At 41.6% G+C, this 17,291-nt stretch overlaps 1 protein-coding gene across 1 annotated transcript in view; it reads right to left on the bottom strand.

The window, feature by feature from the left end:
• OCIAD1 (OCIA domain containing 1) overlaps nt 1-16,931 on the bottom strand; it is a 56,660-nt gene extending 39,729 nt beyond the window's left edge. Inside the window, exon 1 of the mRNA XM_047415862.1 lies at nt 16,757-16,931. The gene's annotated coding sequence lies outside the window, so the exon portion shown is untranslated. The remainder of the gene's footprint in view (nt 1-16,756) is intronic.
• Nucleotides 16,932-17,291: the final 360 nt, after the last annotated feature.

The raw sequence follows: 17,291 nt of genomic DNA, 5'->3' as shown, positions 1-17,291 counted from the left end.
TTGGCTATGTGGGCTCTTTTTTGGTTCCATATGAAATTTAAAGTAGTTTTTTCCAATTCTGTGAAGAAAGTCATTGGTAGCTTGATGGGAATAGCATTGAATCTATAAATTACCTTGGGCAGTGTGGCCATTTTCACAGTATTGATTGTTCCTATCCATGAGCATGGAATGTTTTTCCATTTGTTTGTGTCCTCTCGTATTTCCTTGAGCAGTGGTTTGTAGTTTTCCTTGAAGAGGTCCTTCACATCCCTTGTAAGTTGTATTCTTAGGTATTTTATTCTCTTTGTAGCAATTGTGAATGGGAGTTCACTCATGATTTAGCTATCTGCTTGTCTATTGTTGGTGTATAGGAATGCTTATGATTTTTGCACATTGATTTTGTATCCTGACACTTTGCTGAAGTTGCTTATCAGCTTAAGAATTTTTGGGCTGAGACAATGTGGTTTTCTAAATATACAACTATGTCATCTGCAAACAGAGACAATTTGACTTCCTCTTTTCCTATTTAAATACGTTTATTTCTTTCTCTTGCCTGATTGCCCTGGCCAGAACTTCCAATACTACGTTAAATAGGAATGATGAGAGAGGACACCCTTGTGCTGGTTTTCAAAGGGAATGCTTCCAGCTTTTGCCCATTCAGTATGATATTGGCTATGCGTTTGTCATAAATAGCTCTTATTATTTTGAGATATGTTCCATCCACACCTAGTTTATTGAGAGTTTTTAACATGAAGAGATGTTGAATTTTATCAAAGGCCTTTTCTGCATCCATTGAGATAATCATGTGGTTCTTGTCATTGGTTCTGTTTATGTGATGGATTACATTCATTGATTTGAGTATGTTGAACCAGCCTTGCATCCCAGGCATAAAGTCGACTTGATCGTGGTGGATAAGATTTTTAATGTGCTGCTCGATTTGGTTTGCCAGTATTTTATTGAGGATTTTCACATCAATATTCATCAGGGATATTGGCCAGAAATTTTCTTTTTTTGTTGTGTCTCTGCCAGGTTTTCATATCAGGATGATGCTGGCCTCATAAAATGAGTTAAGGAGGAGTCCTTCTTTTTCTATTGTTTGGAATAGTTTCAGAACGAATGGTACCAGCTCCTCCTTGTACCTCTGGTAGAATTCGGCTGTGAATTCGTCTGGTCCTGGGCTTTTGTTGGTTGGTAGGCTATTAATTACTGCCTCAATTTCAGAACTTGTTATTGGTCTATTCAGGGAGTCTACTTCTTCCTGGGTTAGTCTTGAAAGTGTGTATGTGTCCAGGAATTTATCCATTTCTTCTAGATTTTCTGGGTTTATTTGCATAGTGGTGTTTATAGTATTCTCTGATGGTAGTTTGTATTTCTGTGGAATCAGTGGTGATATCACCTTTATCATTTTTTATTGTGTCTATTTGATTCTTCTCTCTTTTCTTTATTAGTCTAGCTAGTGGTCCATCTATTTGGTTAATCTTTTCAAAAAACCAGCTCCTGGATTCATTGAATTTTTGAAGGGTTTTTCATGTCTCTATCTCCTTCAGTTCTGCTCTGATCTTAGTTATTTCTTGTTTTCTGCTAGCTTTTGAATTTGTTTGCTCTTGCTTCTTTCATTCTTTTAATTGTGATGTTAGTGTGTTGATTTTAGACCTTTCCAGCTTTCTGTTGTGGGCATTAAGTGCTATAAATTTTCCTCTTAACACCACTTTAGCTGTGTCCCAGAGATTCTAGTATGTTGTTTCTTTGTCCTCATTGGTTTCAAAAAACTCATTTATTTCTGCCTTAATTTTGTTATTTACCCAGTACTCATTCAGGAGGAGATTGTTCAATTTCCATGTAGTTGTGCGGATTTGAGTGACTTTCTTAATCCTGAGTTCTGATTAGATTGCACTGTGGTCTGAGAGACTGTTTGTTATGATTTCCATTCTTTTGCATTTGCTAAGGAGGGTTTTACTTCCAATTATGTGATCGATTTTAGAATACGTGCTATGTGGTGCTGAGAAGAATGTATACTCCGTTGATTTGGGTTGGAGAGTTCTGTAGATGTCTATTAGGTCCCATTGGTCCAGAGCTGAATTCACATCCTGAATATCCTTGTTAATTATCTGTCTCATTGATCTGTCTAATATTGACAGTGGGGTGTTAAAGTCTCCCATTATTATTGCGTGGGAGTCCAAGTCTCTTTGTAGGTCTCTAAGAACTTGTTTTATGAATCTGAGTGCTCCTGTATTGGTTGCATATATACTTAGCTCTTCTTGATGTATTGATCCCTTTACCGTAATGTAATGCCCTTCTTTGTCTTTTTTTATCTTTGTTGGTTTAAAGTCTGTTTTATCAGAGACTGGGATTGCAACCCCTCCTTTTTTTTTTTTTTTTTTTTTTTTTTTTGCGCTTGGTAAATATTCCTCCGTCTCTTTATTTTGAGCCTATGTGTGTCTTTGCACGTGAGATGGGTCTCTTCAATATAGCACACTGAGGGGTCTTGACTCTTTATCCAATTTGCCAGTCTGTGTCTTTTAATTGGGGCATTTAGCCCATTTACACTGAAGGCTAACATTGTTATGTGTGAATTTGATCCTGCCATCATAATGTTAGCTGGTTATTTTGCACATTAATTGATGCAGTTTCTTCATAGTGTCATTGGTCTTTATATTTTGGGTTGTTTTTGCAGTGGCTGGTACCAGTTTTTCCTTTCCATATTTAGTGCTTCCTTCAGGAGCTCTTGTAAGGCAGACCTAGTGGTGAGAAAAATCCCTCAGCATTTGCTTGTCTGTATAGGATTTTGTTACTCCTTTTCTTATGAAGCTTAGTTTGGCTAGATATTAAGGATGCTGAATGTTGGCCTGCACTCTCTTCTGGCTTGTAGGGTTTCTGCAGAGAGATCCACTGTTAGTCTGATGGGCTTCCCTTTGTAGGTGACCTGACCTTTCTCTCTGGCTGCCCTTAACATTTTTTTCCTTCGTTTTCATGTTGGAGAATCTGACCATTATGTGTCTCGGGGTTTCTCTTCTTGAGGAGTGTCTTAGTGGTGTTCTCTGTATTTCCTGAATTTGAATGTTGGCCTGTCTTGCTAGGTTGGGGAAGTCTTGTGGATAATACCCTGAAGTGTATTCTTCAACTTGGTTCCATTCTCCCTATCACTTTCAGGTACACCAATCAATTGTAGGTTTGGTCTTTTCACATAGTCACATATTTCTTGAAGGTTTTTTTCATTCCTTTTCATTATTTTTTCTCTAATCTTGTCTTCATCCCTTATTCCGTTAAGTTGATCTTTAATATCCAATATCCTTTCTTCCGCTTGATCAATTCAGCTATTGATACTTGTGTATGCTTCACAAAGTTCTCCTGCTGTGTTTTTCAGCTCCATAAGGTCATTTATGTTCCTCTCTAAACTGGTTATTCTAGTTAGCAGTTCCTGTAACCTTTATCAAGGTTCTTAGCTTCCTTGCATTGGGTAGGAACATGCTCCTTTAGCTCAGAGGAGTTTGTTATTACCCATCTTCTGAAGCCCACTTCTGTCAATTCATCAAACTCATTCTCCGTCCAGTTTTGTGCCCTTGCTGGAGAGGAGTAGAGATCATTTGGAGGAGAATAGGCCTTCTGGTTTTTGGAATTTCCTGCATTTTTGCACTGCTTTTTCCTCATCTTCGTGGATTTATCTACCTTTGATCTTTGAGGCTGATGATCTTTGGATGGAGTCTTTACGTGGGGGTCCTTTATGCTGATGTTGATGTTGTGGCTTTCTGTTCGTTAGTTTTTCTTCTAGCAGTCAAGACCCTCTTCTGCAGGTCTGCTGCAGCTTGCTGGAGGTGCACTCCAGACCCTGTTCACCTGGGTATCACCAGTAGAGCCTGCAGAACAACAAAGATTTCTGCCTGCTCCTTTCTCTGGAAGTTTCGTCCCAGAGGGGCACTGGCCTGATATCAGCTGGAGCTCTCCTGTAAGAGGTGTCTGTCAACCCATGTTGGGAGGTTATTCCCAGTCAGGAGGCACAGAGGTCAGGGACCCACTTGAGAAGGCAGTCTGTCCCTTAGAAGAGCTGGTGCACTGCGCTGGGAGAATCCCTTTTGTCAGGATCAGCTGCTCTCTTCAGAGCCAGCAAGCAGGAATGATTAAATCCGCTGAAGCTGCGCCCACAACCACCCCTTCCCCCAGGTGCTCTATCCCAGGGAGATGGGGGTTTTGTCTGTAAGTCCCTGACTAGGGCTGTTACCTTTCCTTCAGAGATGCCCAGTGAGGAGAAATCTAGAGAAGCAGTCTGGCCACAGCTGCTTTGCCACACCCAGCCCAGAGCACCCAGCCTCCTGAGCAATGTCAGGAGAAAACTGCCTTCTAAAATGTCAGTAATGGCAGATGCCCCTCCCCACACCAAGCTCGATTATTCCAAGTTGTCTTCAGACTGCTGTGCTGGCAGCAAGAATTTCAAGCCAGTGGTTCTTAGCTTGCTCGGCTCCATGGAAGTGGAACCCACTGAGCTAGACCACTTGGCTTCCTGGCTTCAGCCCCCTTTCCAGGGGAGTAAACAATTCTGTCTCACTGGTGTTCCAGGCCCCACTGGGGTATGAAAAAATACTTCTGCAGTTAGCTCGGTGTCTGCCCAAACAGCCCCCCAGTTTTGTGCTTGAAACCCAGGGGCCTGGTGGGAATCTCCTGATCTGCAGAGTGCAAAAACCATGGAAAAAGTGTAGTAACCCGGCTGGGTAGCACAGTCCCAGGTGCCACTGGGGGTATGAAAAAATACTTCTACAGCTAGCTCAGTGTCTGCCCAAACAGCCGCCCAGTTTTGTGCTTGAAACCCAGGGCCCCGGTAGGAATCTCCTGATCTGCAGATTGCAAAAACCGTGGAAAAAGTGTAGTAACCCAGCTGGGTAGCACAGTCCCTCATGGCTTCCCTTGGCTAGGGGAGGGAGGTTCCTGGCTCCTTACACTTCCCGGGTGAAGCAACGCCCCACACTGCTTCTGCTTACTCTCCATGAGTTGGACCCACTGCCTAACCAGTCCCAGTGAGATGAACTGGGTGCCTCAGCTGGAAATGCAGAAATCAACCACCTTCTGCGTTGGTCTTGCTGGGAGCTGCAGGCCAGAGCTGTTCCTATTCAGCCATCTTGGCCCCTCTCCCACCCCTTTTTTTGGGGAGGAGGGAGTCTCGCTCTGTCACCCAGGCTGGAGTGCAGTGGCCCAATCTCCACTCACTGCAACCTCCACCTCCCAGATTCAAGCGATTCTCTTCTCTCAGCCTCCCGAGTAGCAGGATCACAGGTGTGTGCCACCATGCCCAGCTAATTTTTGTATTTTTAGTAGAGACAGGGTTTCGCCATGTTGGTCAGGCTGGTCTCAAACTCCTGATCTCGGGTGTTCCTCCTGCCTTGGCCTCCCAAAGTGCTGGGGTTACAGGCGTGAGCCACGGTGCCCTGCCACCGTTTCAAATTTAAGCCTAATAATAAACAGTTAAGAAGTTGTATTTTGAGAAGCAAGCCCAAGTTTTAAAAGATATTATTTCAAAGTTTTATAAAAGTCAATATTTATTCAACAAAAGCCAGTATTTATTATCTTCCTTTTTTTTTTTTTCCTTTTAGACGGACTCTTGCTCTGTTGCCAGGCTGGAGTGCAGTGGCGTGATCTCAGATCACTGCAACCTCCGCCTCCCAGGTTCAAGCGATTCCCCTGCCTCGGCCTCCTGAGTAGCTGGGACTACAGGCATGTGCCACCATGCCCAGCTAATTTTTTGGCCAGGATGGTCTCAATCTCTTGACTATATTTTGTATTTTTAATTGCCATTAGCATATATCAACTAAGCGCTATATAGATGTCCTGATCGCCTCCAGTTTATTCTAATGAACTGCACAAAGATTAGCGTTTTTCTATGTGTGCCATGATATTAAAAAGATTGGGACATATTGGCATAGAATGTCTAAACAGAGAGAGAGCGAGAAATGCACAGGTGGATAAGTCGACATAAATGGGAGAAGGGCTTACCCATCCTGTGTGACTAGCAGGAAGAAGGTAATGAAAGTTATAGAATACAGGCCACTTTATACATTTGTGACAGAAAGACAAAGTAGTTGAAGATATTGGCAAGAGAATGGTTGAAATTATTGGCAATGGAATTGAAGCTAAGTAGGGATGAAAAGAAAACAATCAGATAGGGATAAAATTAAGAGTATCAAAGATCTAGTAGTCAGTATGATGCCAAAGAACAGGTATGTGCGGGATTACCTATGTGGGAGAGCTGAAAGAATATGATGTTGACTAGATGGTGGAATGTAAATATTTCATATTCAATGAATTTATGCCTTGGCCACAAAAAGCTTTGTTGTCATTAAAACAGAGGCGATGGGAAGTGAAAGGGAAAGTCATTTGCGACCCTGGGGTTTCTGAGCTGCTGTCTAGTTCAACAGTTTGATTTCCTCCAAGCCAGTGGAGTAGAGATTTGAGAATTTTACAAGAACTGAGATAGCCCTGTCTACATTATCAGAATCTAGTTCAGTTCATGAGTCACAGAAGTAAATATTTGTTCATATGTCAGATCTACTGTAGTTTTCAGACTTTTATCAAACTGCAGCACTTCTTAAAGATCCTCCAAAAAGCAGGCTTACCAAGAAATGTAAATTCCCTGGCAGGTTTTGCAGGTCATTCCAAAAAAGCATAGTTTCATGCAAATGAAGTTTCAAGACAATTACCTCCCAGCTATTTCTTGCAAATACATTGTCAATCCTGAGTCTTGTCTAGAGAGAAATCTTGCATCTGCCACTGTGTGAATTTCTTCTAGAAATAATTTATTCTTTTCTTTTTTTTGAGATGGAGTCTCACACTGTTCCCCGGGCTGGAGTGTGGCGCGACCTCAGATCACTGCAACCTCCGCCTTCTGGTTTCAAGCAATTCTCCTGCCTCAGTCTCCTGACTAGCTGGGATTACAGGTGCACACCACCACATCCGGGTAATTTTTTGTATTTTTAGTAGAGATGGGGTTTCACTATGTTGGCCAGACTGGTCTCGAACTCCTGACCTCATGATCTGCCCACCTCAGCCTCCCAAAGTGCTGAGATTACAGGCGTGAGCCACTGCACCCAGCCTCTTCTAGAAATGGTTTAAGAGGACTTCACAAATCCTGGACTCCCAGAATGTATCTTAATATATAGACTATTATTTTGAGGCATATTTTGTTCTTGTTTTCCTTTTTTCAGCAGAAGATGAAGAGAAGCATCAATAAAATCATGGAGCCCATGTGTCAGTATGAATATGAACCTAAGAAGAATCTATTAATACCTCTGAGATACTAAATCATATAAAGTTATAAAGTACCTAACACAGCATCCAGGACTTGGTTTGCATGCAGAAAATGTGAGTTCTTTTTTGTTTTTCTTGAAGATTTAAAGTACTAGAAAGGAGTTTGGAAAAGAGAGAGAGAGAGGTAAGCATAAAAGTGATATAGCCTATATTGTTAATTTAGAACCATTCCCGGTAAACTATTGCAAATAATTTGTCTAACTTTGTAATTAAAATTTAAAACAAAAAGTTTATTTTTAAGGGGAAAATAGGGCTTCCAGTGATCATTATTCCAGCTCTAATCGATGCTGTTGTGTAAATTATGTTATTTTTGTTTTTGCCTTAATTCCAGCTCTATCTCCAATATTCTGAGTATTGCATTCAAACACCAATCTGTCTACTTTGTTATAAATATGAAGAGTCAGCTCTCAGTCAAAAGTTAGAGGAGAGTTTTTTCCACGTCTAGGTGACTTTATAATTTCACTATAACAAATATTTGAAAAAAAAAAAAAAAGGCTTTCTGAATAGCCATACTCTGCTTTTCTTTCTTGGACAGTTTCATTTTCAGGCAGAGGCAAGGATTAAAAAAAAAAAAAAAACCCCTCCACAGGAGGTGACCCTTTCTACAGTGCTCCTCATGCTGTCAATCAAACCGAGAACCATCTGTCCCTCTTTAGATTTCAGGAGCCATCTTGCACATCTGCTGTGCCTTTTCTATTGCCACTTATAGAACACACTAAGAGCTGTTAGATGAATTAGGGGAACCAGAGTGCAGCTGCATGTAGCTGGTTTGAATTTTGCAGCTGGGTCCTACACATCAATCTCAGTCTTAAAAAATTTTTTTAATGAGATTAGAACTACAAAATTATTTATTTATTAATAGTAACTTCTAAGAAAGTGGGTCTTAAATTTTTATTCTCTGAAAGTTTAAAACATATATTTTTACAACTCTCACCAAATGTTTAAAATTCAAGCCAACTGTAACATTTAAATAGTTATTCACGAGCTCCTCTTAAGAAAAAGTGTCACATGAAAAAAAGTTTTTAAAACTTTGACATAAGCCAAATACTTTCTGATATAGAAGTAAGTTTGATGCCTGTTATAGAAATGCTAGAAGTTTGCAGGCCACAAAACTAAAATATTAGCAGCTTTAGGCCAGTTTTTGTTTGTTTGTTTCCCCTTTGGGACAGGGTCTCACTCTGTCACCCAGGCTGGAGCACAGTGGATCTGATCCCCAGTTCACTGCAACCTCCACCTCCCCGGCTCAAGTGAGCCTCCCATCTCAGCCTCCCAAGTAGCTGGGACTACAGGCACATGCCACTACGCCCAACTAATTTTTGTATTTTTTGTAGAGACGGGATATCACCATGTTGCCCAGGCTGGCCTCAAACTCTTGAGTTCAGGCGATCCACTCACCTCCGCCTCCCAAGGAGCTGGGATTACAGGCGTGAGCCACCACCCCCAACCAGTTGCTGCAGCATTTTCATATGCCTGTAGGATAACACTTACCACATCACAATTGTTTGTTTACCTGTTTTGCCCACAATACTGATTCTTACAAGTAAAGGGAACCCCCACACCATATCAACAGTATCACGTATACCAGACTCTTTCAAAAATGTTTCATTAAATGAAAAATCATAATATGTAATAGAAAAAGTGTTGCGATATTTCTTGAAAGATGCAATCGGAATTCCACAGGCTCTTAACTTGACATCCATCCCGCATCATGCCAGATAGAGGTCATGACAAGAGCCTGTGGAATTCTTCTGCACCTGTACCCGTATAGTATGTTTTCCTCTATGACACACACAGCTCTTCTGCCTGTGCTCCTATCCAAGACCAGCCCTGTACTTGAGAGGTAGATTCCATCCTCTCTCACCTACTCAAGGTATTCACCTACTCAAGGTACCCACCTCTAGCAGTTCGACCCATTCTGTCTCCCATCCTTGGTTTCTCTTCACTGTAAGAAAATTCCCATCAGCTTATGAACAAGTTATGATTCTCAGCTTTAACAGCAAGAAAAATCCCAAAGCTTTTCTTGACCTCACATTCTCATTTTTTTGCTCTTTTATGGCAAAACTCCTTGAAAGAATTATCTCTACTTCCTGTGTCCAATTCCTCTCTTCCCAGTCTCTCTTGGGCTCACTCCAAACACTTTTACCCTAAGCAAATGTCCTTGTCAAAGTCTCCATGACCTTTGTGTTATTAAATCAATCTTTCAATTCTCTATCCTTGTATTATGCGACCTATTCTAAAGCGTTTGACAGTCAATCACTCCTTTATTCTCTTCTCTTGTTCCAAAATTTGGCCCCCTTTTCTTTTTTCCCTCTATCTAACTGACCACTCTTTTTCAGTTTCCTTTGCTGGTTCTTTCTTGTCTTTCTGATTTCCAAATTTTGGGGTGCACTTTGACTCAGACAGGCCTTGGACATCTCGGTAGCCACTTTCTTGGTAACCTCTGGTGTCAAGGCTTTAAATACCATATCATAAATGCCAAATTTAGTTTTCTTTTTCTTTTCTTTTTTTTTTTTTTTTTTTTTTTTTTTTTTTTTTGAGACCAACTCTCACTCTGTTGCCCAGACTGGAGTGCAGTGGCATGATTTCGGCTCACTGCAACCTCCACCTCCTGGGTTCAAGCTATTCTCCTGCCTCAGCCTCCCAAGTAGCTGGGAATACAGGCATGCATCACCAAGCCTGGCTAATTTTTTTGTATTTTTAGTAGAGATAGGGTTTCACCCTTGGCCAGGCTGGTCTTGAACTCCTGACCTCAATGATCCACCCGCCTCAGCCTCCCAAAGTGCTGGGATTACAGGCATGAGCCACTGTGCCCAGCCCCAAATTTAGTTTTCTAGTATAGACCTCTCTCTGGAACTTCAGACACATATGTCTGCCTACATGTATCTAATTTGCATCTCAAACTTTACATACCTCAAACCAAATTCCTGGTCTTTGACACCACAACAGAAAAAAAAAATGAAACTTTTCTTTTCAGTCTTCCTCATCTTCTTCATCTCATTTGAAAGCTATTCCTCTTTCCATTTCATTTGACTAAAATCTGTGGAGGCATCCTTGACTCTTCTTTCTCTCTCACTCTACATAAAATTTCTTTGTGACTCCTATTGGATTTATCTTCAAAGTATATCCATAATCTGATCCCTTCTCATTATTATTGTTATTATTACTTTGAGACAGGATCTCACTCTGCTACCCAGACTGTAGTGCAGTGGCATGATCTTGGCTCACTGGAACCTCCACCTCCCAGGCTCAGTAATGGTGAATTGTATTATGCAGATATCTGAGAGCAATTACATAGAGCCTAAGATGGGTACCTGCTTGGCATGTTTGAGAAAATGCAAGAGCAGTGCTGCTGGAGTGTAATTAATGAGGAAAAGAATGGTGGAGTATAAGGTCTGGAGGAAAGGAAGAGAAAGACTGCAGGGCCTCCTATGCCATTGTAAAGACTTTGGCTTTTATTGGAGAAATGGGAAGCCATTTGGAGGGTCTGAGCAAAGGAGTGGCTATCTGACTTGGATTTTAACAAGATCACTCTGGCTACTGTGTTAAGAGTAAAGTGAAACAAGACGTGGAGGCCAGTTAGGGGACTTCTGCAATAAGTTAGGCAAGAGATCACGATGATGTGAATCAATGTGGTAGTGGGAGATCTAATGAGAAGGGATCAGGCCAGGTGCAATGGTTCACGCCTGTAATGCCAGCACTTTGGGAGTCCAAGGTGGATGGATGGCCTGAGCTCAAGAGTTTGAGACCAGCCTGGACAACATGACAAAACTCTGTCTCTATTAAAAACACAAAAAATTAGCCAGACATGGTAGTGTGTGCCTGTGGTCCCAACTACTTGTAGGGCTGAGGTGAGAGGATCATGCCACTGCATTCCAGCCTGGGCAACAGAGTGAGACTCCGTCTCAAAAAAAAAAAAAAAAAAAGAAAGAAAGAAAGAAAAAAGAAAATTGCAACTCCTCTCTTCTTTATCTCCCATCCTCAATCACTACCCACTGCAGACATTTCCTATCCCCCTTCTATTTCCTGCCTTTTTTTCCTCCACTTCGGTAGCACTTACTACAGTCTAACCTCTTGTTTTACTTATTCCTTGTCTCTCTCTAGGTAAGCACCATGAGGCAGGATTTTAATTTTTTTCCCTGATGCATCCCTAGTGCCTAGAACAGTGCCTGACGCTCAGGTGCTCAACTAATATTTCCTAAAAGACTAAATAAATAAATAAATTGTAGTCATTGGTGAGTATATATCATATGCCAGGGACAGATAAGAGAATCCCTTGAGCCCACGAAGTTCGAGGTCTGCCTGGACAATGCAGCAAGATCTCATCTCTTTTTTTTTTTTTTTTTTTTTTTGAGATGGAGTCTCACTCTGTCACCCAGGTTGGAGTGCAGTGGTGCGATCTTGGCTCACTGCAAGCTCCACCTCCCGGGTTCACGCCATTCTCCTGCCTCGGCCTCCCGAGTAGCTGGGACTACAGGCACCCGCCACCGCGCCCGGCTAATTTTTTGTGTTTTTAGTAGAGACGGGTTTTCACCGTGTTAGCCAGGATGGTTTCGATCTCCTGACCTCGTGATCCACCCGCCTCGGCCTCCCAAAGTGCTGGGATCTCATCTCTTAAACACACACACACACCGAGTTCCTAAAAAGCTAACGCACTCTGCTCCTAAAAATCTAGATTTTTTTGGCAGAGATAATAATAATATCTAATATTTCGCAAGCACCAGGCACTGTTCTAAGAATGTTACATGTATCATTTCATTTAGTTCTCAAAATAAGAGGTGGATACTATTAAATAATATTTTACAAACAAGGGGACCAAAGCACTGAAATTAAGAAGCACACTCAATGTCACAGAGCTAGTAACCAGTGATACTAGGATTCAAATCCATACGGTCTGATTTTGGAACTCATATAGTTAAGTACTTAAGTCTGCAACATATAATGCAATAAGTCACTACTGTGATTAAAGGGAGCCTAGGTTATTAGAGGAAAACATAGCAGGGCAAACTTTCTGGGAAAGGTGATTTTGAGGGACCACAATTAGTTAGCCAAGGGAAGAACAAAGGAATGGGTGCTTAGGGCAGAAAGTGCAGCATATGCACCAACAGGTGAAAGAGTGGGGTGCTTGGGCATCCTACAAATGTTATTAGTAATAGCTAGAGAATAAAGTGGCAGAGAGAAGGTGATAAGAGCTGATAAGGTAGACAGAGGCCGTATCATGAAGGGCCTCAAATGTCATAGTTAGGATTTTACATTTTAACTTTTTTTATTTATTTTTATTTATTTATTTATTTTGAGACAGAGTCTCACTCTGTCACCCAGGCCAGAGTGCAGTGGCGCAATCTTGACTCACCGCAACCTCCACCTGCCGGGTTCAAGCAGTACTCCCTGCCTCAGCCTCCCTAAGTAGCTGGGATTATTGGCGCCCACCACCGCTCCCAGTTAATTTTTTTGTATTTGTAGTAGAGATGGGGTTTCGCCAAGTTGGCCAGGCTGGTCTCAAACTCCTGACCTCAGGTGATCCGCCCACCTTGGCCTCCCAAAATGCTGGGATTACAGGCGTGAGCCACCGCGCCTGGCCTTTACATTTTTATCTTGAAGGCAATAGGGAAGCCATAGATGGATTTTAAACAAGGAAATGGAAATAAAATAAGGTTTGAATTGTAGAAAAATCACTATGAGCTGTGTAGGTAACAGATTAAATTAAAGGAAAGGAAAACAGCTATATTAACTAAGGCTGTTTTAGTAATACAAGGAAAAAAATGAAGGCTTGAACTAAGATGGTTGAAGTGGTGATGAATACAGGTGAACAGATTTAAGAAATCATAAAAACATATAATCAAAAGGACGTGGTTACCAACTAAGGAGGGTTGTTAAAGAGGAAGAGGACAAGAATGACTCTCAGGTTTGGTAACAGTACTGGGTGGTAGAACCCCTGACTGCCATAGAGAATACTAGAGGGAGAAAATTTTGATTGAGGGAGAGAAGTATATCAGCTGAGTGCTGGATGTGCTGAGTTTACAATTGTCTTAGTTTCTTTGTGCTGCTATAATAGAATACCACAGGCTGGGTAATTTACCAAAAACAGAAATTTATATCATATAGTTCTGGAGGCTGGGAAGTCCAAGATCAATGCACCAGCAGGTTCAATTGTACGGTGAGGGCTGCATTCTTCAGAGGGGAGGAACACTATGTTTTCATGTGGAGGAATGGGTTAGGGCAAGCCAGCCAAATGCTGCAATGCCTCTTCTGTAAGGTCCTTAATCCCATTAATAAGGGAGCAGCCCTCAGGGGATTATCCCTTGAGGCACCATCTTTTTCCTTTTTTTTTTCTTTGTTTTTTGTTTTTTGGAAGTAAGGTCTCACCCTGTCACCCAGGCTGGAGTGCAGTGGTGCAATCACCATTCACTGTAGCCTCAGACTCTCAGGCTCAGGTAGTTGAACCACCTCAGCTTCCTGAGTAGCTGGGATTACAGATGCATGCCACCACACCCAGCTAATTTTTTTGTATTTTTTGTAGAGATGAGGTTTCACCACCTGGTCCAGTCTGGTCTTGAACTCCTGGGCTCAAGTGATCCTCCTGCCTTGGCCTCCCAAAGTGCTGGGCTTATGGGCTTGAGCCACTGTACTTGGCTAGCCCCATGTCTTAATATCATCACATTTGCAACATCTGGGTTTTGGAGAGAGTATACACAAAACATAGCAGAATACCCAAGTGGAGAGCTGTAGTGAACAGTTGGATGTATTTGTCTGGAGTTACTAGCTCTATGACACTGAGTATGCTTAGGTCCCCTTGTTTATAAAAATAGTATTTTAATAGTATCCACCTCTTATTTTGAGAACTAAATAAAATGATACATGTAAAATTATTCTGATACAAAGTGACAGTGCCGATCTGGGGCTCAGGAAAACATCCGGTCTAGAGACATCAGGCCATAGATGAAGTTGATGTCATAGTAGCAAAAGAGTGAAATGAACCCTGGGAAACACCCACGTTTGAAGCAGTGGCTTTGAGCATCAAATCACCTTGGGAAGTTTTTAAAAATACAGATTCTCTGGAGCCCCTCCCCAAATCTACTGAAGCAGAATCATCAGAGATGAGAAGAAGGAATCTAAATTTTTAAGTGCTCTCAGTTGATTTTGCTTGGGCCAGCCTGCAACCGGAAACCAGTGATTAAAATGATGGAAAGAAGAGATCAAGAAACATACTTTTAAAAAAAGGCAAGAAAGAAAGGGAATTAATATTAATGCCTAACATTTATTACACACTTAGTATGAGTCAGGTACTGTTCTAAACACTTTAGAGCAATATAATATGAATCCTTATAACAACCTGATAGATACTTGGTACTATTATCCTCACTCTATAGATGAGGAAGTTGAGATACAAGGGCGGCATGTAATTTACTGAAGTTCATATTGCTAATAAGTAGTAGATCCAGGATTTAGATCTAGTCCATGCTCTAGATTAGTGCCTCTCAGATTTTTTTTTTTTTCTTTTTGAGACAGGATCTTGCTCTTCACCCAGGCTGGAGTGCAGTGGCTCAATCGTAGCTCACTATAAACCTGAACTGCTCCTGAGCTCCCACTCAGACCTGCTCAATCAGAACCTGCATTTTAAACAAATTCATAAGCACTGTAGTCCCAGCTACTCAGGAGGTTGAGGCAGGAGGATCACTTGAGGCTACAAGTTTGAGACTAGCATGGGTAACATATCGAGACTCTGTCTCTACAAAAAAATTGAAAAATATAGCCACCTGTTGGTGGTGTGTGCCTGTGGTCCCAGCTACCCCAGAGGCTGAGGCAGGAGAATCGCTTGAGCCCAGGAGTTTGAGGCTGCGGTGAGCTGTGATCGCACCACTGCACTGCAGCCTGGGCAACAGAGTGAGATCCTACCTCAAAAAAGAAAGAAAAGAAAGCTGGACTGGGTTGCTCACGCCTGTAATCCCAGCACTTCGGGAGGCCGAGGTGGGTGGATCACAAGGTCAAGAGATCGAGACCATCCTGGCCGACATGGTGAAATCTCATCTCTACTAAAAATACAACAATTAGCTGGGCATGGTGGCACGCACCTGTAGTCCCAGGTACTCGGGAGGCTGAGGCAGGAGAATCGCTTGAACCTGGGAGGCAGAGGTTTCAATGAGCCAAGATTGCTCCACTACACTCCAGCCTGGCAACAGAGCAAGACTCCATGTCAAAAAAAGAAAAAAAAAGTTAATTTAAAAGGGCAAGGGCAGTGATAATTCTGTGCTATCAACCACAGTGTGATGAGCCAAATCAATCTTATTCTGTGTATCTGTGGTCTAATTTTAAAAATCCAGAATTTGAAATGAGTTTTAAACATTCTTTATAAATTTCAAGAAAAAGGTAGAGTGTTCCTGAGTAGAAAAGAGAAAAAGAAAAAAAAATCATAAAAGTGATTTTGGAAAAGAATGAAAACTAACAAAATGGAAAGTCCTTTTCCAAAGTTGTCCAAAAAGGTGTTTTAATCAAAGCAAAAAACTAGAATATTTTCTTTAAAATGTTTTTCCAAATTTATTTATTTATTTATTTATTGAGACAGAGTGTCACTGTCACCCAGGCTGGAGCACAGGGGCGTGATCTCGGCTCACTGCAACCTCCACCTCCCGGGTTCAAGCGATTCTCCTGCCTCAGCCTCCCTAGTAGCTGGGACTACAGGCGCCTGCCACCGTGCATGGCTAATTTTTGTATTTTTAGTAGAGATGGGGTTTCACCATGTTGGCCAGGCTGGTCTTAAACTCCTGACCTCAGGTGACCTGCCTGCCTCGGCCTCCCAAAGTGTTGGGATTACAGGCGTGAGCCACCACCATGCCCGGCCTGTTTTTCCAAATTTAAATGACAAATGCTAAAGAAGCCGGACATGAAACTGAATGAAGAAAATTGAGATGGCTTTAATTTTAGAAAACAGAGTATGAATATTATCTTTTCTAGAGATCATTAATTTATAAAGCCAGCATATAACTGTATAATTCATATACCCCTAAAATACAAAAATAAAATTGCTCAGCATTAAAAAATTTTTTTTCTAAACAACTGTTAACTGGAATATAGAATACAAAGGAAAATTTGCGTAAAAGGGACAAGAGAGATTTCTGATAATTTTTTTTTTTTTTAAGAGATGGGGGTCTTGCTCTGTCACCCAGGCTGGAGTACAATGGCCCAATCACAGCTCACTGCAGTCTTGAACTACCAGGCTCAAGTGATCCTCCCCTGAGTAGCTGGGATTTTTACCACACCAAAAATCTTATGTCTTTTTTCACATTTATCCAAAGTAAGTTATAGAATTGACCAAAAAAGGATTCAAATTGCTTACCATCTGTATAGTCCCTGTATTAGTTATCCATTGCTGTGTAATAAAATATTCCAAGATTTAGCAGCTCAAAACAACATACATTTATTATCTCGCAGTTTTTGTGGCTCAGAAATTTGGGAGTGGGTTAGCTGTGTGGTTCGGCTCAGGGTCTCTTACCAGGCTGTGATTAAGAGGTAGGCTGGGGTTACAGTCATCTGAAGGCTCTCTTGGGGCTGCAGTATCCACTTCCAAGGCAGCTTACTGACATGATTGCTAGCAGAGGCCTCAGTTCATCTCCTTAGTGCTGGTTGAGTGTCCTCATGATCAGGTATCAGGCTTCTGCAGAGTGACTGATTTGAGAAAGAGAGGAGGAAGCTGCAATGCCCTTATGACCTAGTGTCAGAGGTCACACGCTGTCACTTCCTCCATATTTATTTGCAGTGGGCTGCAATCACACCACTGTACTCCAGCTTGGGCAATAGGGCAACTATTCTAAAAAGAATAGTTGAACTAAACTATAATCCAATTGCCAAAAACAACTAGCTCACATCATAAGCAGATCGTTATGTACCATAGCAAATGCTTGTTGTTGCAGCTTCCCAGACAGCTCTCTTCCTTCTTTTGGTAGCAATGCCTTGATTTTCTTTTAGATAACAAAGCATTCCTCACTTTCAGTTAGTGTGGTGATGTTGAGGCTGATTCCACCACTTAG

This window comes from Homo sapiens, chromosome 4 (assembly GCF_000001405.40).
Source record: "Homo sapiens chromosome 4, GRCh38.p14 Primary Assembly".
Taxonomy (NCBI): domain Eukaryota; kingdom Metazoa; phylum Chordata; class Mammalia; order Primates; family Hominidae; genus Homo; species Homo sapiens.
This window is presented reverse-complemented; position numbering and strand designations above follow the sequence as displayed.